Raw genomic sequence first — 25996 nt, 5'->3', positions numbered from 1 at the left:
ACATTGTGTAAGTACTTATTACCACTGAATTTTAACCATTAAAATTAAAACTTGTTAAAATGGCAAACTCAATGTTATATATATGTTACAATTTAAACTCCCTTGAAGCAAAATAAAAACACTAATATGCAAAGTTTTCTCAACTACTACAAGAGGGAATAAATGCAACCTTGTCTTGTCTTTAGGTCTATGTCAAATGCAAATATGCTTAGAACTAGATGCCTTTAAAATATATTATTCAAACCAATTCAATGGCTTTCTGCAGGCTAATATTTAAACTGTTTTACAGGGGATACAAGGCCTCTGCTGATCTGGTTCCTACTTACCTGTCCAAGCCCAGGTTCATCTCTCATACTACCTCTGCTATCTATAAATTCATGGCCCCACGATACAGAAGAGTCCCAGGATGTGCGAGGTTCTCTCCTCTCTCTCTCTGCTTGCCCACGCAGTTCTGTGTATTTAGAAAGGGCTCACATACCACCCCTACCCCAACTCTTATCATCTAGCCTAATGAATCCATGATCAAGCCTTCCCCACACTTCTGAAGCTCCTTTACCCATGGCCCATTACCTTGATTTATCCCTCTGCAATGGCAATCACAATATTCCAATTCCTCATTTGCATGTCTGTATTCTACTACACTGTTACTTTATTAAGAACAGGAAATATGCCATTCCATATTTCTCTACAAGGACTAGTATTCCATAAATGGTTTTTAAATAAATGAGCAAGAGACTAAGCCCAGCACTCAGCTGGGGAGTAAAGATTCTGATCACCTGTATTCTAAGATGAAGTCACTCACTGCTGCTGCCTCATTGTCCTTCAGTGGACACCAAGTTTAAGTATGAATACCAGGTGTCAAGTAATAAAACAAAAACAAAAAAACCATCAAAGTCAGAAAAGCCTCAAAGGATCACCCCCACAGTGAGACTATCCACACAAACTGGAACCTGAGGAAGTTCTGAGAAGGCAAGTGGGAAGGAGTTTATTGAAAATGTGCTCCATGTGAAACAGAATTGTTCAATTATAATAATGAACTGAAGTAGCACTGCAGTGAAGGAAGCAAAATCTTAAGGTGAAGAGTAAAAATGTTAGTAATCACCCAATACTACCAACCTCAAAAAATGAGTAATTTGATTATTCTTATCTAAATATGTCTGTTTCCAAGCAGGTCTTCCACATTTTATGGGACTAAATTAAACCTCTTTTAAAATTCATCCGTTTTTCTTTGTTCTGCTTCTACATCTGACAATTGGGTTACTCTGAAGTTCTACCTAACAGATGGAACTGATATAAATAGGGGATTTTCCAGTCATCGGAAATAAATGCTTCTAAATAATAATTCACAGAATAATACTCAGATTTATAAACTCCTGTGAGTTTGGTCACTATGAATTAGGGCCTCATCAGCATGACCTAGGTTATTTGATTATTACTCTTAGAGGTCTAAGAGTAAGCTCATTGTCTCCTACTGATCTTTCAAAAACCCCTCCTCTGCCAGCATTCCTTATTTCACACCATCTACCTTTGTTTGGGAACCAGAAACCTAGACATCATCCTAGAGGCTTCCTTCGCCTTTTTATTGTCCACATCCGATTCTCACCAAGCCCCTATAACCTTTCCCAAACCATACAGATTAGATTACTTCCATCCTCAATGTCGTTATCCTAGTCCAGGCCTTGGTTTTTCACCTGGATTCATACAACAACTCCAAATTGATCTCTGTGTCTTTAGTCTTGTCTCCTTTCAACCTACCTCTAGGCTCAGACTCATTGCAAAAGCAGCTCTAATTAGATAACTCCCTTGCATGAGGTCCTTCTAAATACCTTACACAATCAATGACATCTTCTAATATCTGTCCTCTGCCTCTCTCTCTGGTCTCCTTATGCACCCCTTTGAAATCTAAAATTCAGCTTCATTCCGTTTCTCCTCCAATTCACCAGGATCTTTCTTAGTTCCAGGCCTTTACTACAGAAAGAATGAATGAATAGTAAGTGAAATCCCTCCTCTCATGGCTCCCCAAATTGACCTTTTTGGCCTGGATAACCCATTCAGGACTCAGTCATCTTTGTAAGGTAATTTTCCCTAAAGAAGCAAGACCCCCAAGAAAAATTTAGGCACACCTCCTCAGTCTCCAGCACACTGCATGGTACAGGGCAGGTACTCAAAAATGCCTGCAGAATGACTGCTTACCATCACAGCAGGTAGGTAATGGACATGGTGGGATTTCATTTTACCAACAGTAGGTTCTGATCTAGATTATTTTTGCTTTCCTACTTCCATATCTGCATATTTCATCAAGGGGCCTTATCAGAAGCAACAGCTTCCTTTCTTATAAGGTAGGCAAAGAACTAGACAAATAAACAGCAGCTCAGTTTTTAAAATTTGTGAGATTGTTTTAAAAAAAAAATCGAAGGAAAAGAACATGCTGCAAATTTAGAGATCTGATTCTAGTGCTCCATCTGTCCCTGACTTGCTTTGCTGAAACTGACTTCTTGTGCCTTAACTTCGTCTGCAAAATAAGGATAGATTTCTACCTCATCAGGATGTTGCAAGAACAAATAAGACACAACATGAAGGTACCTCCACTCTGAATGGAATGGTCTACAAGAAATCCAGCAGATTCACCTTGCTCTTCTATGTCAATATAAAAATATTAATCAACTTACAAGTAACATCACAAACAAATGTATTATGTTTTGTGGGACTTATAAACAGGCCCTGGGCTTGAGACCCCATCGTCACCTGCTAAACACTCAAACCCCTGACATTCTGATTCTTCTGTTGGTTGCTTTGCTGCAGATAAGGAGGAACCCAATTATATTTTCTTTTTAAGCTTTGCTGGATGCCCAACACATCCATTTCCCCTCTCCCACTCTCTATGCAATGCAAATTCTTAAAACAAGGCTTGATTCTCCAAAGGAGAAAGTGTGATTATGGTAACACATTAAGAATTGCTGTGGAAAGTCACCTATTGTCTGATAAATTCATAATTATAGGTTGCATCTCTGTTCTCTTAGAGGCATCATAACAGTCTTAGTTTTTAATTCTGCTGGTGGAGAGGAAGACTCTAAATCATTTAGGAGGCCAGCTGTGTTGTACTTCAGCTGCAAAATACGAAAGTTCTCAAGTGTGCTTGGCATATATTCTGAGCTGAAGCATACGCTGCTTATGCAGGCAAAATGTCCTTGTACTGCAGATGCCTGGTAAAGTTACATGGGGATTTTATACATATGTAGTACATCAACACCAGCGCCCTCACTGATGAGTACACACTGCATCACTTTTTCCTTCTGCTTCACGTCTTGTAAGTGGGCACAAATTCAAGTTGGTACCATACTACCATGGAATTTTAAAATTAAAAGGAGCCTCAGCAATAATCCAAACGAATGCAAAGTTTTAGAGATAAAGAAAATGAAGCCCCTAAAACGTGAGAATTTTATGTGCTCACACTGTCAAATAAAGGTACTATTTGTGCCTTAGGTTTGACAGAGCCTGTCAGCAGAAAGGTACTTTCCTTACATCTTTTCAAACTAAGTTCCAAATGAAAGCATACAGATTAAAAATAAATGAATGATAGATGGAAGGAAGGAAGGACAGGAGCCAAAAGTTTACGATTAGAGGCAACAGAGTCTAACGTCTGACTGATTACTTCCTGGCACACAATGCACCTCCAAAAGCCAACTTTTCCACCTGAAATGGATTTCCCATCCCTTCCCGAAAGTCAACTGCAAGTAGGAACTGGACTGACACCTCTAAAATGATTTGGTTGAAGAATTTCAATGTGCTTGGCCTCTATTACTAAAAGAGGCAGAACTGAGGGTTTCAGCAATCTCAGTTTCTCACAGTGGCTTTTTCAAATTTACCTGATTCTCCTTTGCCTAATAATTCTTGCTTCTCAGTCCCTGCCCAGGCTTCCTCAGGAAGCTTTTCCCATTCATTATTCCCTCGCTTTTATATCTCTAATCTCTTTCTTTCTACTTGGTCCTGCTCCCCAGCCCAAAGGCTTAAATGCATATAAAGCACATATAAAACACATAAGCAGGATGGCTGTACACCATACCACACCTCTTTGTCCTCCCATCAAAAGCTGCTCACCTTTCTGTGTTTGCCTGCACCTTGGAGCTTCTGGAAATAAAGCCATCTATCCTCATATTACCTCTTCTTTGCTTCCACTAATTCCTTAACTCATTGCGTTCTGGTTTCTCCTGTCCTCATGCTAGCTTATTGCCTTGATTCTCCACCAAAGCAATTCAACTTCCAGATCCTGTCTTCTATACCACCTAAGTATTTTGTGAATGTGTCCCCTTGGCTTTATCTCTACCCCCAGTGTGTAAAGTTAGGGCTTGGTTTTTCTGGGATGTCTATCTTTGCCTTCCCCAGTTCCTTAGTTACACTGCTTCCAGGGGGTAGTTGTCTTAAAACACAAATTTGATGTCACTGCTTATTGACATATCACTATAGGTTAGCCTCATTCTATAAGATAAAGTCCAGTTTCTCCAACTACCCTTCCAGGGTCATCTTTCCTCCTCTTGCTACCTGTCTGGCCACCCTCAACTCTTGCTGAAACCCACTCTGTCCAGCTCTTCCATTTCTCACCATCTTCCCTTGTGCTTTTTTCTCTACCTGAAAAATGTTCTTGCCATTTTCTCTACCTGGTCTATTTCTACTCTCGTTTAAAGTCCAGTTCAAGACCAATAATGAGTAAATCAGTAATAAAAGACGAATCAATAATAATAAAAAAAAAAAACCTGCCAACGAGAAAAAGCCCTGGACCAGATGGATTTGCAGCCGAATTCTATCAGATTTACAAAGAATAGCTAGTACCAATCCTACTGAAACTATTCCAAAAAATCGAGGAAGAGGGACTCCTCTCTAACTCATTCTATAAAACTAGTGTCATTCTGATACCCAAATCTGGCAAAGAAACAATAACAAAACTATCCCTAATGAATGTAGTCCAATATCCCCAATGAATGTAGACACAAAAATCATTAACAAAATACTAGCAAACTGAATCCAGCAGCACACTGAAAATTCACCATGATCAAGTGAGCATTATATCTGTGACGCAAAGATGGTTCAACATACGCAATTTGATGTGATTCACCACATAAGTAGAATTAAAAACAAAAACCATATGATCATCTCAATAGATGAAGAAAAAACGTTCAATAAAATCCAACATCATGATAAAAACCCTCAACAAACTAGGCATCAAAGGAACATACCTCAAAATGATAAAAGCCATCTATGATGAACTCACAGCCATTATCATACCGAAGGGGCAAAAACTGAAAGCAACCCCACTGTGAACCGGAACAAGACAAGGATGTCCATTCCCACTGCTCTTATTCAACATAGTACTGGAAGTCCTAGCCAGAGCAATCAGTCAAGAGAAATAAATAAAAGGCATACGAATAGAAAAAGAGGAAGTCAAATTATCTCTCTTCACTGAGGACATGATTCTATACCTAGAAAATCCTAAAGATTCCGCCAAATGACTCCTAGACCTGATAACTTTAGCAAAGTCTCAGGATACAAAAATCAATGTACAAAAATCAGTAGTATTTCTACACACCAATAACGGTCAAGCTGAAAACCAAATAGATGATACAATCTCACTTACGATGGCCACAAAAACATAAAATACCTAGGAATACATCTTATCAAGGAGGTGAAAGATCTTTATAGGAGAACTACAAAACACAGCTGAAAGGGACCATAAGCAACACAAACAAATGGAGAGACATTCCATGCTCATGAATAGGAAGAATCAATATCATTAAAATGTCCATACTTCCAGAGCAATCTACAAATTAAGTGCTATTCCTATCAAATTACCAATATTATTTTTTACAGAATTAGAAAAAACTGTCCTAAAATTCATATGAAACCAAAAAAGCCCCAAATAGCCACGGCAAGCCTAAGCAAAAAGAAAAAAGCTGGAGACATCACATTATCTGACTTCAAACTATACTACAAGGCTACAGTAACCAAAATAGCATGGTACTGGTACAAAAATAGACACATACATGAATAGAACTGAATAGGGACTACTGAAATAAAGCCACACACTTTAAACCAACCAATCTTCAACAAAGTCAACAAAAATAAACAATGGGGAAAGGACACCCTATTTAATAAATGGTGCTGGGAAAACTGTCTAACCATATGCAGAAAAATGAAACTGGATTCCTACCTCTCACCATATATGAAAATTAACTCAAGATGGATTAAAGACTTAAATGTACGACCTCACACCATAAAAATCCTACAAGAAGATGTAGGAAATACTGTTCCAGACATTGGCCTAGGCAAAAAAGTTATGACTAAGTCCTCAAAAGCAAATGTAACAGAAACAAAAATTGACAATTGGGACCTAAGTAAGCTAAAGAGCTTCTGCCCAGCAAAAGAAACTATCAACAGAGTAAACAACGAACCTACAGAATAGGAGAAAATATATTTGCAAACTGTGCATCTGACAAAGGACTAATATCCAGAATCTATAAGGAGCTTAAAATCAAGAAGAAAAAAACATATAACCCATTAAAAAGTAAGCGAAGGACAGACATTTCTCAAAAGACATACAAATAGCCAAATATATGAAAAATGCTCATCATTACTAATTATTAGAGAAATGCAAATAAAAACCACAATGAGATACCATCTCACACCAGTCAGAATGGCTACTATTAAAAAGTCAAAAAATAACAGATACTGGCAAGGTTGTAGAGAAAAGAGAATGCTTATTGCTATTGGTAGCAATGCAAATTAGCTCAGCCCCTGTGGAAAGCAGCTTGGAGATTTCTTAAATAACTAAAAACAGAATTACCATTTGACCCAGCAATCCAATTGCTGGATATATATCCAAAGGAAATTAAATCGTTCTACCAAAAAGACACATGCACTCATTATGTTCACTGCAGCACTATTTACAAGAGCAAAGACATAAAATCAGCCTGGGCGCCCATCAATGGTGGATTAGATAAAGAAAATGTGGGATATATATACTATGGAATGCTACATAGCCATAAAAAAGAATGAAATCATGACCTTTATAGCAACATGGATGCAGCTGGAGGCCATTATCCTAAGTGAATTAACACAGAAACAGAAACCCAGATGTTCTCACTTACAAGTAGGAGCTAAAAATTGGCTACACGCAAAGATGGGAACAATGAACACTGGGGAATCCAAAAAGAGGGAGGGAGGGATGAAGGTGGGGAGAAGGGTTGAAAAACTACCTATTGGGCACTATGTTCACTATGTGGGTGATGGGGTCATTCGAGACCCAAATCTCAGCATCACACAATATACCCAAGTAACAAAGCTGCACATGTACCCTCAAATCTAAATTTTTTTAAAAAAAGGAAATAAATTATGTCTTGTAAAAAACTAAATAAAATTGAGTCTAGTTCAAATGTGAACTCCTCTCTGAAGCCTTTGCCCACTCAGTGGTCTCACGGTCTTTGCTTGCAGTGGTCTCACGGTCTTTCTCCTCTGTTCTCCTATAGCACTGGTACACTTCTCTATTACAGCCCTTACATACTGTACTGTAATTTTTTTTTTTTTAAAAAAGAGTATCTCTTTCACCAAATGGTAAGCTGCTGAGTATGTGGAACATATGGAATCTTTATTCACCTTTGTAATTCAGGTCCCTTACAGTCATGCAAATTATTAAATGAAAGAGAAAAGGGAAAATATGGAAATATCTGAAAAATTTTTACAGCTGTATACACACATGAATATCCATGCCTGTGCTGTCCTATAGAAATACACTGCTAGACACGTATGTAATTTTAACTTTTCTAGTAGCCACATTAATAAAAAGTAAAAAGGACTGGTAGTTCAATCATATTTACTCAACCCAATATATCTAAAATACCATCATTTCAAGTTATAATCAATAAAAAGTTGTCATTCTTGAGATACTTTGCATTCTTTTTTCATACTAAATCTCTGAAATCCACAACATGCCTCTTATACTTAACACATCTCAGTTTGGACTGGCCACACTCCAGGTGCTCAACAGCCACATATGGCCAGTGGCTACCATACTGGACAGAGTGTCTTATTAATCCAAATGCATTGACATATTTGAGGGGGTGCCTATATATAACCCAGAAGTTATCAGGCACAAAGATGATTGGCAGGTTATTGATAAACCACACAAAGTACTTATTAAGGCCGGCGCGGTGGCTCACGCCTGTAATCCCAGCACTTTGGGAGGCCTTAGGTGGGCGGATCACGAGGCCAGGAGATCAAGACCATCCTGGCTAACACGGTGAAACCCTGTCTCTACTAAAAATACAAAAAAATTAGCGGGTGCCTATAGTCCCAGCTACTTGGGAGGCTGAGGCGCGGGAATGGCGTGAACCCAGGAGGCGGAGCTTGCAGTGAGCTGAGATCACGCCACTGCACTCCAGCCTGGGCGACAGAGCGAGACTCCATCCAAAAAAAATAAAAATTACTTATTCAAACTTCAAGGTGCCTCTCAGACATGACACATCCTGTCACTGCTTCTGAGTCAAGATTCAAATATTGTCTGGCTTCACTCACACCCAAAATGTTGAGGAAGCTGTCTTTCTTGGTCTGGGAGCCAGAGTTGTTTTGTTATATATTTAGAACTATAAGCAAGATAACCATGGAGACCTCCATATCTTACATACTGTGGGTCAGCACAGTCTTTTTTTCTCTTTGGTCTCCAGAACTTTAGCTATACAGACCCAGCACACAACATAACTTTCTACCACTAGCTTACAATACCACTCTCCAAACCATTTAAAAATTTCAGCTCGAAGTCCTTATTTTCCAGGAAGTCTCTAGTTGTTTGCCTCTTTTTAATCACATTCTCTTTTCTAATATTTTTGTAATTTTTATCATGTAATACTTTAAGTCAATGAAATTTTTATAATTTTATAGTATGACTAATTAATTTCTGTTGTTTAACAAGGGGGTGAAGTAGAATCTGGGACTCCTGAAGGTACGAATATATAACAAGTAGAAACAGATTCATTAGGTAATTTGATATACATTTTAATGTTTTATTAGTATAGTAGCATTCATTCTAAATGTATCTCAGATGTTTAAATGACATTAATCCTGAGAAACCTCCTTGATGGCCTGCCATCGTACTTGGAATTCCCTCTCCTTACTTTGCAAAAATAGCCACTAAGAGCTTTTTCAAATATAAATATGACAATACTCTAAGTTATTAAGACTATTACCAATCATGGTAAAAAAGTTAATAGGATAATGAATCCCAAATACATGGGGAAAAAGACAGGTAAACTTTGATGGGAAAGGTGGCAAAGAATGACTCAGGGGCCCAGAAACAGCGCAGAGCTGAGCGGGGGGGAACAGGACCACAGGCCTGCTGCACAGCATGGGGGCACCAGGCACTGGGTAAGGACCTCAGTGCAGAGGCCCTTTAAACACATTTGACCCACTTTGCAATTTTGACCAGTCCTAGATCAGAAGTCAGTCTGCAGACCACATATCTCTTTTCATGAAGATGACAGCCCCTGCTGGCCACACTCCTGTCCCTAAATCAGAACAGTGATATCTCCTTGACCTGCTAAGAAAGCTCTGAGGAAGCACACAGGGAGCTCTCAGTGGCAATGACTGGACTGTCTTGTTTGCTCTCCCCACCTTTCGTCACATGACGCTTCCACTAGGAATTGGACTGTTTTCTCTTGCTTTGGTTTAAGAGTTCTTCACACCTTTTTGGAAGTCACACTTATTATAGCATATCTTTCTAATGTTCAGTCTTTGAGAAGCTTCTAAGATATGACAAACTCTTGCCCAAGACAAATCTTTTGAGGATCCAAGTCAGTGAGAAGACTTACTGGCCAATACAAATGTGTTTTTACTAGGTTTTCTAGGAAATGCAAGCTCCCTCCCTTTTCTCAAACGGCATAACAAGGCCTCTCCTAGAAGCATACATGCCAGAATTCAAGAGGTTGGAAGAACATCTCATTTTTATTTCTTCAAAAGAAGAGAGCCATTTTATCCATGAAATAATATCCTTGGAATTACATCATCCTAATTATCAGGATGGTACAGTTGTCTTTCAGACCCAGAGATGGGTAGACCATTTCTCATTCTCAAAGAGCACAGAAAGAGAAAGATGGAGTACATAGGCTAGTTTCTTGAACAGAATTTTTTTCTCATCGTCAACACTCAACCCCAGCTGCCTTCCCCCAGGAAGACTGGTTTTCCTCCTCCTTTGCATGACACAAATGCATACAAACTTGGTTTTCTCCATTTAACAAGCAAATCTGTTTGCAAACAGGAAGCTGTAGAAGTGGGAGGGTGTGAAACAGGCAAACCGGAGGACAGTTCTGAAAATGCAGCAGTGGAATGGGAGCTTGATTTAGCCACAGTACTCAGCTTCAGAGAGTTACAACCAAACCAGCCCATCTCCAATACTGGGCCTGGTCTCCATTGCTGCAGAAAGAGGCCTGAGTCCCATATTTCTGGGCCTGGTGACAAACCCTAGACCCAGAAGAGAAACCGTGGGGCTCTCCTCTCCTTTCTCCAGAGGGCAGGGAGACTTCTGCCAATGCACGTGGCCAGGGTGGCTTCAAAGTGATCCTACTGGTGACAACCAAATTATTTGATGGAAATCCACATATCACCACCTGCTCTCTCTCCAGAAGCCTTAAATAGAGCCAGGGTTTCCGCTGTCAGTTTGTCTCCCACTGAGAAGAGTGGCATCAAAGCCCAAATTCAGCTTGAGAACATACCTTTGGCACTTGGAAGAGGTCACTGGCAAGTCCGTGCCAAGAACAACCCATGGCCTTCCCAGCCTCAAGCCAAAGGGGTTACTAAATTGAAAAGCTGCATGGCTTCACCAGAAATTACTGAATCCACAAGCCCACAACTGTATCCGAGAAGAAAATAAGCCTACCTCATTTCAATGATAATATTTATAATCTCTTACTCGCCTAAGTAGTTATTCTCAGTAACTAAGAAACTATACACAAAGTAGCCTACTGAATGGCAGCAACAGGTGTGGCTGACACACTGGGAACCTAAGTTGGATATTACCTTCACAGTAATATGAGATTTCTTGACAGACAACTGTGACAAATTCTTTCTTGGGGGTTAACTTGGTCCTAAAAGGTCTTCATGGAGCTGATTATTACAACAGAAAACATCCAAAACACAGGAAAGATAGGCTAGACCCTTGCCAAGTGTCTGACAGTCTTATCCCTATTTTCTTGAGGCTTGCAGTTGAGGCATGGCCATCAGTGTGGTATGTGAAAAGCCATTACCGTGCAACCAGAGGGAGGAGACCAGCACAGGACCATGATTTTCATATGAAGACACAGCCTCTCAGAAAGCTCCAAACCTCAGATACCCTCATAAATTTTTGTGTGTGGGCAGTCAGGAAAATGAACTCCTAAGGGGAAGTGGAAGTGGTCGTAAGTTTGTGATTCAGATTTTGGCAGCTTTGTCAAATTAGTAAATAACTAGAAATAATAATCTTCAGCAGAGTCAGTGGGTTGACTGGGAAGATAGCACATGCCCAAGGAACAGGTGGCACAATTTCTTCACCGTGTGCATCCCATCTGAACCATCCTCATATCTCATTCTGTCTCACATCCATGTGGCCACAGAAATTCCTCCATGTAAATATGAAAAGAACGTATAGATTTGTTTGCTTCAATATTTGCAGTGACAGATGTCTGTCATCAGACTTCTTAAAGGCAGGCTGCACAGCTGCCTGTGTTACTTAATGCCCTAAAGACGTCAGTGATGGCTGAGGGTTGTGTAGAGACAAGGAAAATACATTATTTAAATTTAGTGTGAATACTCCTAACTTTTCTCAGGGGCTCAGCAAGACAACTTCAGCCCTAGGTAAGCAGACTTTCAAACAGCCAGAGCAAGACAAATCCAGGTAGGGGGCACTTAGAAGTAGGCACCAGCAAGAAGCCAGCTTCTCAGCCAAGGAGGGAGGGTGGCTGATAGGGTTGGTCTGTGTCCCCACCCAAATCTCACCTTGAATTGTAATAATACCCATGTGTCAAAAGCAGAGCCAGGTGGAGATAATGAATCATGGGGCAGTTTCCCCCATACTGTTCTCATGGCAGTGAATAAGCCTCACGAGATCTTATGGTTTTATAAATGTGAGTTCCCTTGCACAAGCTCTGTTGCCTGCCGCCATGTAAGATGTGCCTTTGCTTCTCCTTTGCCTTCTGCCATGATTGTGAGGCCTCCCCAGCCATGTGGAACTGTGAGTCCATTGAACCTCTTTCCTTTATAAATTACCCAATCTTGGGTATGTCTTTATTAGGAGCATGAGAACAGACTAATACAGCGTCCATGGTTCCTCTCGTGGCCTTCCACCCACTGCCATGCTGTGCGGGGCCCATGCCACTCATATCACTCTGAGACTGAAAGAATTTACAGTGGGGAATTAAATCCTCTGAAAGACATTTATGCCTCAATTCCAACTCTCCCCAACAATTAGATTAAAATAAGGCAATCAAGTACACACAGACTTCTCATTGCTTTCTGAGACATCGGCTTTCTTCACCTGACAAATTCTCTTCTCAAATCTATTACGGATGACTGGTCCTGAGTTTGAATAATGAGGATGGACCTTTAGTGACAAAAAGTTTGTCTAAACTTGTAACAAATCATTTTCAACATCTTGACACGTAGTGAATAATTGGTTTCCACTATGGAGGCTACCTGCCTGTTCATTCCAATTCAACTCAAATGATTCTAAATTAAGGAGCCTTGGGCCTGCCAAACCAAGTGTTCTCAAGAATCAAAGGCTCCTGTTCAGTTATTTAAAAATACATGAGGAGCAATAATGCCACTGAGGGTGATGAGCTAGCAGATCAGCCCCAAGGATTTGCTTAATCAGTGCTGTGGCATAGATTCCCCAGGCGGTGGCATTAGATGGGCCAGTTATACTGTTCTTCCCACTATCATTTATCACTGTGCACACAGCCCCAGACCATGTTTACACAGTGGGATATATGGTTTTTCTATGTTCAGAAAAAAAATAAGGGAATATAAATAGTTTCCTTCAAATTGACTTCTATGTTCTTTGGGGTTTATGCCTGCTTTGAGCTGCTCGAAGTGAGGGAAATAAATTCCAGGATCACTGGATCACAGGCCCTGGTGTTTTCAGGAGTTTCTCAGATTACAATCCTTCTTTAATCCAGGCCTAAAGGAGAAAGAGAACAGGAACTAGCATTTCCTGACTCCTTAGACAACCTTGTGCCTTTTTAGTCTACAAGACAAGTTCTTGATCCCCTCTAAGAGATAAGTTTTAATTCAGCTATTTTTCAGACATAGCTAGAACTCCAGAAGTGGGCAACTCCTAAGATTCTCTCTCTCGTACACCCACCTCTGGCCAAGATGAAACAGAAGGATCAGATTGACCCTCCCACTCCAAACAATAGGGAAAATTTTAAAACGACAAAATACTGGATATGGAACAATGGTTTTTCAAGACACTGGACACCAGAAACTGGAGAACAGTGGGCCCAACCACTGTCCCACTTCCTGTCTGTGAGAGCCAGGCTGTGGCACAGGGAGGAGAAACCCAGGTGGAGCCTGAGGTGAAGAGATAGAGCTGAGCACCTGGGGAGCCCAAGACAGCCAGAGTTCACGGGACAGAGTATCAGAGAGTAGAGAGCTGCAGAGAGAGCGGAATCTAGGTAGTGTCTCTGGGAACAAGAAGGCCTTTTTTCTTTTTTTTTTTTTTAGATTTTTTGAAACTCAAGTTTATTTGGATCAGTGATTTGTTTTTTACTTATTTATTTATTTATTATACGCAGCACACCAACATGGCACATGTATACATATGTAACTAACCTGCACATTGTACACATGCACGTTAAAACTTAAAGAAGGCCTATTTCTTATCTCCGAGTACATAGGTTGTAATTACCTAGGCCATTGGCCAAGCCAACTAGATAGTGAAAGTTTATAGAAATCCTCTGCCTGTCAGCACTCTCTGGCAGAAGGGCCACTGATTAGCAATCAAAAAGCAAACCCCTAATGCATTATGAGAAAGCGGTATTTAGGATTTGGAGGGTTTTTTTCCTCATCTGAATACACATACACAGAGAGTGAATTTCATGTTACTTCCCCTCTGACAGATTTGTGAGGAGCAGTTTTCTAGTCATAGATCACTCTAAGTAGATGACTATAAATATTAAAGATCCATTTGTTTTTCTATTCTATAGGAGAAGCAACTGAAGTTGAGACCCAAAATACTAAAATTTTATGTCCTCTGCTGCCTACTAGGATTGCCAGATAAAATACAGGATGGCATGCAATATTTGGGACATATTTATACTTTAAAAATATTTGTGTATCTGAATCAAAATCACAATGAGATACCATATCACACTAGTCAGAATTGCTATTATTAAAAAGTCAAAAAAACCGATGCTAGTGAGGCTGAGGAGAAAAGGGAATGCTTATACACCATTAGTGAGAAAGTAACTTAGTTCAGCCACTGTGGAAAGCAGTTTAAAGATTTCTCAAAGAACTTAAAACAGAACTACCATTTGACCCAGCAATCTCATTACTGGGTATATATCCAAAAGAAAATTGTTCTAATAAAAAGACACAATCATTGATATTTATCACAGCACTATTCACAATAGCAAGGACATGGAATCAACCTAGGTGCCCATCAGTAGTGGACTGGATAAAGATGATGTGGAACACACATATCATGGACTACTACACAACCATGATAAAGAACAAAACCGTGTCCTTTACCACAACATGGATGCCATCTGGAGGCCATTATCCTAAGCAAATTAACACAGAAACAGAAAACTGAATACATGTTCTCACTTATAAGTGTCAGCTAAGCATTAGGTACTCATGGACATAAAGATGCCCACAGTAGCAACTGGGGACTGCAAAGGGGGTGCGGGAAGAGCTTAAAATCTATTGGGTACTATGCTCATTACCTGAATGATGGGATCATTCATGCCCCAACCTCAGCATCATGCAATATACCAGGTAACAAACCAGCATACATACCCCCAGAATCTAAAAATGAAAACTGGAAAAAAAAAAAATTCAAGTTTAACTGGGATATCATTTTTTTTTCCTTTTCCAAATAAGGCAACCCTATCCTCAAGCAATGCTGTACAAAGGAACACTATCAGTTTTAACTCTTTTGAATGAGAGTAGAGGGGAAACAAGTAATATATACATGCCACAGGAAATGCTCACATGTTAACTAACCTTAATAACCTATGGTTAGCCAGGAATCCACTGTCCATGCCGGGAATAAATGCCTTTCTCCAGATTTTATGCTCCTGTTTTCTAGAGATGCCTCTATTTTCTCTTTACTCACTTTCTTCCACTACCATAGGTCAAGGTTTCTACTGCAGTACTTTGAAGCTATGTGAATCGCAATTAACTCCATCCAATGACACAAAATCAAAGCTATCAAACTCTCAGGTTTTGGTATCTGGATGAAATGGCATGTCACCCCTGCAGTCCCCTTCCATCTCCCTTAGAGTACAAGTCAACATCCTCACAGTGACTTCCAAGGCCCCAGGTGATCTGGCAGCTCCCATGGCCTCATCTGCTGTTCTGTCACACCAAGCATGACCCACCACAGGAACATGGACTTCCTGTTCCTGCTGCCTGCAACTCTGTCCACAGATCTATGGTTCACTCTCGTCTCCATCAGGTCTCTTCCAGTAAGGCTACTCTGCTCCCCATTTATACCCTATCCTTCTTACCCTGTTTTACTTCTCTTCTGTCACATTATGTATTTACTTCGTCACCCTCTACTATAGTTGGAACAATTATGTCCTCTCCAAATTCATGTTGACACTTGATCCCCACAGTGGTGGTATTAAGAGGTGGGGCCTTTAAGATAGTGATTAAGCCATGAGGGCAAAGCCCTCATGAATGGATTAGTGCTTTATAAAAGGGCTGAGGGAAACTAGCTTAGACCCCTCTTGACCTTCTGTCCCTTCCACCACGTGTAGACACAGTGTTCCTCCCCTTCAGAGAATCCAACAACAAGCTGTCATCTTGGAAGCAGAGAGCAATCTTCACCAGATACCATTCCTGCCAATGCCTTGATTCTGGACTTGCCAGCCTCCAAAACCATAAGAGATAAATTTCTATTGTTTATAAATTGCATAGTTTGTGGTATTTTGTTATAGAAGCACAAATTCAATAAGATATCCCCTTTCTTGTATATATCTGAATAAACACTCAATTCAGGTAGGAACTTTGCTTTATCCTCAGAATCTAGACTAGGATCTGGCATGTATTTAGAATTCAACAAACTTTTGTTAAAAAAAACAATGAAATGGCCTGGGATAGTTATTTCCTCTTCGACTAACAAGCCCTTGTCTGACGGTTAACTTTCAGCTATGTTCAAACTGATCATACAGAACACAAGGCTTCAGCCTGTATCCCAAAACCAACTAAGTGGCTTCCTCTGCTGTACTATTTGAGGATTTGTAGGGCAGGCAACCTGACCCCAAATAGAGACCACTGTTTCATGGCAATTCTTTATTCCTCAGCTCTTGAAAGGTTATCTTTGAAATATTCTCCAGAGTAAATGTTCTTGAGAGGCAACTAAATATCATGGGTCAATACTTTCACTGTCATGCTGACGGGGATAGATCACAGACATTTTATGGAAGTGGAGTGAGGCCAGAGGTATGGAAGAGACAGCTGAAAGATTCCTGAGAGGGGAAATGAAAACTGTGAGGGTCAAACATTTGGTCCAAGGGAGCTAGCCATCTGTTATCAATAGATCCACTCCTTGGGACTTCTTCTCCCCTAATCACCTGTCTAATCAGAGAAGGTGGTAAAAAAAGAAGGCATTTCCTTGGCATCCAATGGGATTCCTATTTCCATGTACCCATGACAAAGCACAGAAGGTATTCTATGGAACTACTGTGATATCCCTTCCCTCCCACCTCCCTACTGCCATTAGACACTCTTTCCAGCCATAGCAGTTAGCAGGTAACTCAGACTGGATCTCCAGAATAACATGTCCTCCTGGGTACACTGCTTGGTTCAAGGGTAGGCGCATAAACTAAGCAGAGCCACTGAGAGTCCTTTTCAGGAATCAATATGGATTATAGAGAAGGGAGTGACACATTCTTTTCTCCATGATATACACCTGTGAGGATGCTATGGGCCTACAGCCACTGTGGGCCTCTTTGCCCCACCCCCAGAGAGAAGCTGCCTAAGAATGAAGCAGAGGACGGCAGAGCCAAGCAAGGGAAGCAGAGCAGAGTCCTAATGACATTGTCTAAATCGTTAGATTAACTGGGTCTGAAGCCAGAACCACCAGCTGGACTACCCAGTTCGATTAACAAGTAAGTTTCCCTCTTTGCAACCTCATTTGAGTTGGGTTTCTGACACTTGCAACTGAATAAGCCTTGGTTAATATACATCATTACTATCAACGTGCCTTACTTGCTTGTAAGTATCAGTGAAGCATCAGCTAGTCAAGTGACTAAACTATGATGCTTTATATTTTTAAAAAAGTATTTATTGAACACGATACTACATGTGGGTTAAAAAAATACATCAGCATGCCAAGGAGGTTTCATGGGTCTCCAGAATTCTTCAACTCTTTCTTTCTACTATCAAAGCAAGACAAAACCTCCCATAGTCCCAGGTGCTAGCAGCCTAGAATCTTGGCCATATACTCAGTGAAAAGGCACAGGGAAAATCCCTAGAGAGGGGACACAGGACAGTTTATAAGGTCACATCTCACCCCAGTTAAACTCCAAGACACATTCTTAATGAAGTGAATCAGGAGTGGTTTATAACCTCAGTCTCCAATGCCAGAACCATGGCCTCAAGGAATGAAAACCACTCATGGTTGCTGGATCAGATCACTAAGCCAACTTCTGCATTAAAAATACTCCTGCAAGAAAACCAAAGTTTTATATGTTTGACAAAAATTACCATCACCTTTGATTCAAATAATACTTTACGTATTTCTAATGTTTCCATAAACATTATCTCATGGGGGATTTCACAGCACCTGGGAGGTAAGTATTAGTTCAATTTACCAAATGAGACAATCATGGCTTTCCAAGGTTACCAGTTTCCCGAGGTCACACAGCTAGTTGGTGGCAAAGCCAGGACTTAACCTCAGGTCATCTGACTGGAGGATACATGCTCTTTTCATTATATTTCCAAGTTTCTCCAGCAGACAGCCCCTAAAATACTTGACATCTGATACCAAAAAGACAAATTTTTAAAATAAAAGTTATGTATACAAATGAAAGGAATATATTCTGTCTGGAAAGAAAAATTATCTTATAGTCTTCAAAAACAAGTTAAATCATTTCAGTCCAGTTTATACTTTTATTATGAACTTTATCCATTCTCATTTGTATTAAGACTTTGTTGTAGTGGTTAATGCTTCTCAGCTTCTCGACTTGTATACTTTGAAAAGTGACTGAAGCCTAGTGTTTTCAACAGTTACAAGTAAAAAAAAAAAAAACACACAGTAGTAAATAGTAATTCCTCATTTAAAATGATAAACAGGTCCCTAATTTTATTGATATGCTAGTTGGATTAGCTATTTCAATGATAGTAGTTCTGCCATAAACAACCAGTTGGCTAAAGAGAACCGTATAGAAGAACCTGAGCTTTGAGAGCAGACAAGCTTGGTCTCACGGTCACAGCCACCCCAGTCTGTGTGACGTTGGCCAAGTTACTTAACAGCTCTGAAGCCCATTTTTTAGTTGGTAAGAAGGGATGAATGTTTATCGTTTAGAATCATTGTAAAGATTAAACGAGCACATGAACACATACACGTTCAATAAAAGTGAATTTTTTCTCCCTCTAAACATCACCAAGATGTTTCATCATTTATAGTCATCAAGGTAAGCTAAAAAGCAACAGCACAAGCAATATTTTGATTTTACATCCTGTCATCATTTCTACTAATAAAAGGCACCACTCCAGATGTAAGCTAACTGTTATTTTACGACCAAATTCATCCCTCAAATGGAGAGGCAAAAACACTTCTGAAAGAACAGTAACATGTGGCTTGCTATTATAAGCAAGATGTACCCATACAAAACAACTGTTTATCTTTCAATTGACAAGATATTCCATATGCTTTTTGGCTATTGCATTTTTTTTTTACCACTCCTCTAAAATTATGGCTAACAATCTCTCTTTTGGCTTCCATTTGAAAGCCATCCAAGATTTAGTTAAAGGATAAACTCAGCCAAACCCAACTAAGAGGAAAGATATTTCAAAGGCACTGGAGGAACCAATGTATGTGATTATGCACAGAGTCTACTTATTAACCATTTAAGATCAGTGTTTTTAGAAATACTTGAATTATTAGCTATGAAGCAAATGGGAGACAAAATTATGACTATTTCACTGAAAAAATCTGATTCATTTTATGTTTTCTAAAATTACATTAATTTAGATTAATGAATCATACATGTTTACTGAAAAGTTGTCAATTATTATTCTGTAGTGAAATTTATAATTTGAAAATAATTTTTAGATTCTGATATATTTACCTATTAAGGATATTTATATTTAGTCTGTATTGGGCATACACATTACTGGAAAAATGTACTATTGACACTTCAAAAGTATTTCAATTCATCTCCGATTACTCAAAACATCAGACATCCACCCCCACACACAAAGTCAGCACTTCTCTGTATACTGTGAAGTTAGTTTCATAGCTTTAAACATGTATCTTATCATTTGGAGTCTAGATTTGCTCCGCTTCACAAAGCCCAATTATTTTGTTAATTTCACTAAAGGTATTGGCCCAGAGTTTAAAAAGAATAAGAGTATCATTGCACATTGCCTTAATTTTCTACCTATACATGGTTGAAAAGAAAATAATTAAAACATGCAAAAGAGATCTTTCATCAGTTACTGAGTTTCATACCTCTTTATAGAGTCCTGGTTCAGAAACGAAGTCTTTAAGATTCCTCATGTCCAATAGCAGCTCTCTTGACCATTCATTTCTCTACTGCCTCATATTAAAGATACAAACTAAAATAAAATATCAAAGTAAAGTCCATTAAATGCTCACTTAAATAACTATGTCTCTAGCCATTTGATGCTGGACTTGGTTGCTCATAGCAGGGTTGTGGCTGACGCAGTGAGGCAGGCACTGCCCATCCACATCCAGCTGTGGTCAGATTCCCAACAGCCTGCCTCCCTGCAGCTGACACCATGGTCAACCTAATTAGTCCTGGCCCCATAAGGCATTTGATTTCATAACAACAAATAGCACCAAGTCCTGCTAAGACTTGACAAAACACAAATTTGATATCCCAGCAGAGTCTTCTGAGTCCTTGAGTCATTGTCGTCCTGGGGCCCCTCTGCCTAGGGCAGTTCTCACTGACATGCTCTTAGTCTGTGCAGGATTTATGCTGAATGGATCATCTTCAAAGCTGGTGCTTAAATGTAGCCAAGCTGTTTAATATGTGAAGTTCAGCCTAGTATTAACAAAAACAGCCTGTCTACATTTTCATCATAAATCAGCTCTAAATAGTGCTCTAGATTAAACTGATGAATAAAGAATATTTATCCAAGGCAGACTGTGAATTTACATGAGAAGTGTGACAGAAACAACAAGCACCTGATTCATGCTTTTCCCATATTTGATACAACTGGTTTATGAAAGCCTCCTGTGTGCCTCAAGTATTTGGGGAGAGAATCAAATTGGGAGACTCAAATTCCATTGCCATTTACTAACCATGCCGCTTCAGCTGTGTTATTCATGGCTCTTCTTCATCTGTAACCTGTAAATTGTTAGTCTCCCAATTCTATCAGGAACACTCTTGTAAATGAATCAACCACAGATGCAGGTATGAATTTATTAGTGTCTTATAATTTCTTTCCTACCGGATAGTCTTGTACAAAAATTGTACAAAATATCTATGATCAATTTAAATGTTGAAATGCAACATTTAAATTAAAATTTCTATTTCCTTTCCCCCAAATCAACCTGTAGATGCTTTTAACCATTCTTGCAGAAGATTTTAGCTGTTTGGCTTCTCCATCTATTATTTTATAATAATCATGGGAAGAACCTCATCTTTCTCAGTCTACTACTTTGTGGTCCTTGGCCTTGTATATTATCTTTACAAAAAGCCATTGTTGAAATTAATATGTACTCAAATTTGGAAAACACAAAAGATTTGGAAAACACAAAATCACTCATTGCCCCCACCCAGAGATAATCACTGTTAACATTTTGGTAGACATTCTTTAAATTACTTATATAGGTACAGATTTGAGAAAAAGAGAGATTGTATTTATTCTAAGATGCTGTCAAATATAGGATTTGTCATCCATATAACAACATTTGTAGGGGTTGAGCACTCACATTTTGAGATGTATCCTTATTTCAAAACTGTTAAATGGTGGTCCACGTCTTAAAGGTGACATATCCTTTTTCCATATGACATCACACTGTCATGTTCACATACTGTTTTGTAATCTGTTTCCTCAAGCAAAATTTTACAAATGTTTTTCCATGTAAAAAATTATTCTACAGGCCAGAAATTCTCGAATTTCTACAGCAACATCTTAATGGCTATACAGTTTTCAGCTGGCAGTGATAGGCGCTGAATAGTGCTGAATGCTGAATGTAAGATTTGGAAGACTTGTCAGAGGATTTTACCAGGTGACTTAAATTCATGCACTATACAGTGTACTTGTGAAATCAGACGCCTGAGACAACAAGGTTACCACCCAGCCTGACCAGGGCTATTGCAAGGATAAAATTAATAATTTTTTAAATGAGCTGTGAGAAGTTAAAAGTGCTCTATGAGTGTAAACAGTGCTTCTATCATCAGGAGATGATACATTCAAGGATGTCTTAGCTCACTTGCCCTTCAGGATGATTGCCCCAACAAAGCAGTACTGTTTTTAAGACCTCATAATAGCCGAGCAGAAGAGACCGCTAAATAACACTCTCAAGGGGGACACTTCCCATGCTGCAGCTAAAGAAGGGCATTCGCTCATATTTGGCCCTGGGCTGCTAATGCCTTTCACATGTTCCAGTAACCAGAAAATATATGTTACAGAACCAACAGTTATTTCAGGGTGACCAGACCATAGTGGGTGGTTAAGGCAAGCTGTTGTATTGCAAATTTACCCGTCCATGCTGTCTTGACTTTAGGTCAGTATGATTGACCCAAACTGTGGCTCAAAGAGCAGAGGTAAGAAAAGGGTACTGCAATACTTATAAAAGAAGGTTCAGAGTGTTTTTCTTGTTCAAGTCATAGTTTTAATGTGTTGGATTATGCGTTGGTGGAAGAAAGGGAAAGCATGATAATATCATTAATAATACCACTCCCCACTGGAAGCCAACTCAGGCATCTTGCTACAGAAGCCAGTTTTAAGACTCTATAAAAAGCAAGCACCCCTACTCTACTACCTTACAAAATTGCCGTGTTGCTTTATCTTGTTCCATACAACTCACCACGAAGGAAGAAAGTCTCCATGAAGGAAGAAAGTCTCCACGAAGAAATTTCAAATCAGTGATAGAACTCAGCCCTCTGCAGCTTTCACAGACCTCTAAATAGGGAAATCACACAGGAGCTCACCTGCTTTTCCCCCAGCACGTGAATGCAAAAAGACTCAGGTGTCATCAATTAGCTTCATCAGTAGGAACGGGCTTTAAAGGAAAAGTTACAAAACAGCAGCCTATAGTGTGTGTGTGGCGGGGGGAAGGAGTCCATCTCTTTTCGTTGGTGGTAGGTAGGGTTGATCATTCCATTTATTTTCCAAATCGGGACACTTTCAACAGTGAAAAGGTGTGCTATCAGTAATTATGCCAAAACGGTAGTATAAACCGGGATGGTCCCAGTTTACATATGGTGACCATAGTGTTAGGATATGAATTAACGTGCTTGACTCTGACAAATATAAGGCTGAGTGAAAGAAGCCAGACACAAAAGGATATATACATGATTTTACTTAAATAAATTTCAATACATGCAAAATTTATCCATGAGATAAGAAGTCAGCTTAGTGTTTTCCTTGCGAGAAAGGAGTCAGAAGAAGAGGGGAGGGGCATGAGAAGGGCTTGGTGATTTCAGTAACATTCCATTTCTTGAGCTGAGTGGAGTCTGGACTGTGTAGTAATTCATTGAGGTGCTCTGTTGTGGTATGTGCACTTCTATGTCTGTCCTACCTAGATTTTAGAAGTTATTAAAAAGGAAGACTTAGGATTTGATTGTATGTATATACATATACATATATGTATACACACATATTTCCATACATTTATTTATAGCTACAGCTATAACTATAGATATAGATCTATCTTTCTTTCAGGCTTATTTTAGTATTAGCTACCATGTCATTGTTCTTGCCTGGGGGTGTTGAGGAGGTACAGGTAAAGCAGCTGTCGCCCATGAACAATTTCAGCAATTTCAGGGTTCCTTTTTTATTTTTGAAACGGAGTCTTACTCTGTCGCCCAGGCTGGAGTGCAGTGGCGCTATCTCGGCTCACTGCTACCTCCGCTTCTCGGGTTCAAGTGATTCTCCTGCCTCAGCCTCGCGAGTAGCTGGGAATACAGGCGCCGGCCACCACACCCAGCTATTTTTTGTATCTTAATAGAGACAGGTTTTCACCACATTGGCCAGGCTGGTCTCGAACTCCTGACCTCGAGATCCTCCCACCTCAGCCTCCCAAAGTTCTGGGATTGTACAGGCACGAGCCACTGCGCCTGGCCTCAGGGTTCACTTTTTTAATTTAGGAGAAGAGAGCTTGGTTCTGGCTCAGCGAGTCTATTGAAATGTAACAATGCAGAACTTAATAGCGCTATAAATGCTGTCCTTTAAATTGGCTAGCAAGCAAATACAAATGATGTCATATGAGTCTTACAATGGTTTAGCTCCATTTCAAAAATGAAGAGGCAGAGACTTAAAAAAAAGGGTCACTTGTCAAAGGTAATGCCAGGATTTGGCCCTAGGTGTGATGGATTCTTAAGCCTGTGCTCTTTACCATGGTGTCTCTGCTATTAGGAGTCTTGGTCCTCTATTTAAATCCTGGCCCTTGTATAAATCCAGGATTCTGGATTAACATCTAATGGTACAGTTTGAGGAAACAAAACATTCAACCTAGAGAACCAGGCAATGCCCCCACAATCTGAGAGGCTCATTCTCGGCACGCCCTGTGAGATGACACCTGGCAGGTGCACCCCGCACCCAGGTACCCAGGCTGTCAGAGACATGCTCAGCTCGCCATGTGAACGAGTCCCTCCAGGCCAGAGCCTCGCTCTCCTCAGAGCCAGGAACGCAGCTCGGCTCTGCACTGTGGGTCTGCAACACCCATCACCCCCCAACCTCCTGGTCCCTTCCCACCTCCGCTGCTTTGCTGTGTGCCTAACCACATGACACCACTCACAAGAGGAGACCAAAGCTCCACCCTCCACCCACCTGGGAGAGAAGAGAGTGGGAAAAATTCCTCTCCAAAACAAAACTCCCTGAAATCCCATGCGTGGAGAAATTTCTTGTTTTACACACAGTAAAATAAGTATAGATACACTGACTAATTGAAGACATTCTGTCAGACTAGCACATTTTAATACTGCCAAAATTCACTGTGACCTAATCATTTAACCCATCTGTCTCAGACCTCCTATTTCTGACTGTGAAGTTGCCGAACACCATTCACTTTCCCCACTCAGAATTCACTGTTTATGTTCTTTAGAGTAAAGATGCGACAAAGTCAGGAGTTCCTCGCACTGCTTACTGCACTAAGAATGGTGCGCCTGATACCCACAGCATTGTGGATGGATGGCCACCCTGACGGTTTCTAATAAAAACTTAGCAACTTTGCTTTGACCATTGACCTTACACGATCTTTGCAACTCTGAAAAAATCCTTGGAAAAAGGTAGTTCATTTCTGTCAATGTTGTGTGTTCACCATCCATTTTATTTAAAGCTACTTTAAATTTATATCAGATCATTCTTCAAAGAAGCCCCAAGTTGAGTATTTTATCTCGCTGGGACTGTAGAAAATAATTGAAATATATTATTACATAGATTTTATATTTGGCATACCAGGCTTGTGATATTTGTAAACTAAAAATAAAATCCTAAGCTCCAAACAACTGATGGGCCACAGACCCCCTTGTGGACAAAGGGAGCCCAGAAAAAAACTGAATTTCTGGCCATGATGGGATGGGAGATCAAATAGGCCTCATTACACCCCCCTCTTCTGTGGTTTAGACACAACAACTGGCCAGAATTAATATTAAAATAGAGATCGTAAGACTGACAGAATAGCCTCTCAGTGGCAATAAGATACCAAATTATAAACAAGACCTAAGGCCAGGCAAGGGTTAAGTCACACACCCCACACCTAAAGAATAAACTATGATTCTCACTGCCAAAAGGTTTTTCTTTTTCTCTGGCAGCAAAACAAGAACTGTTCTCCAGATAAGCAATATTAGAACAATTACAGCTCATCCAGCTCACAGATGCTGCCTAAATCACAGACGATGCCCCTGTTCCACCAGCCATGACTACGGCTCTGATTGGACAAGAGACTGCTTTCAGTAACTTTCTCCTGAAAAGAGACCACTGACCATGCACTGGTCTATGCCAGTTTACACAGATTTTGTACCTGTGTGTCTTTGTGTCCTGAAAAGACCTTTTGATGCATAGGGCCTAGTTGTAAGACATTGAAATGTTAAGGCTCCACTCCAAAGTGAACGTGGGTCATATGTTAACATGCATGTTTGTTTAATATGCTTGTGTCCGTATCACCTTTATGAATATTCATAGCTCCTTTTGTAACCTGCTGAATATGTACATTTAGCCAACCTGTTCAGCATAAAGTCCTATCCCTACCCCTCCTCCTTCAAAGTTCCTGTCTCTGGTCTTGGCTGGAGGTATGTTTTCCCAGCCTGGGGGATGGGCACCTTACAGGTTGTAACCCTTTATAAGAAATAAATTTTCTTTCTTCTCCTTTTCTAAATTTATACATTGTAATTTTTTC

The 25996-nt window shown here is 39.9% G+C and overlaps 1 protein-coding gene across 20 annotated transcripts in view; it reads right to left on the bottom strand.

Moving 5' to 3' along the window:
• Positions 1 to 25996, bottom strand: part of RYR3 (ryanodine receptor 3) — a 555136-nt gene that overhangs the window by 443023 nt on the left and 86117 nt on the right. The window contains exon 1 of one of the 20 annotated variants that reach the window (XM_017022470.3): positions 19916 to 23465. The exons of the other annotated variants lie outside the window; for them this stretch is intronic. Coding sequence (XP_016877959.1) covers positions 19916 to 19963 — 48 coding nt within the window. The 5' untranslated portion in view covers positions 19964 to 23465. Of the gene's footprint in view, positions 1 to 19915; positions 23466 to 25996 lie in introns of those variants that run through there. 20 annotated transcript variants of the gene reach the window in all.

This window comes from Homo sapiens, chromosome 15 (assembly GCF_000001405.40).
Source record: "Homo sapiens chromosome 15, GRCh38.p14 Primary Assembly".
NCBI lineage: Eukaryota > Metazoa > Chordata > Mammalia > Primates > Hominidae > Homo > Homo sapiens.
The sequence above is the reverse complement of the archived record's forward strand: the minus strand, read 5'-3'. Positions and strand labels throughout refer to the sequence as shown.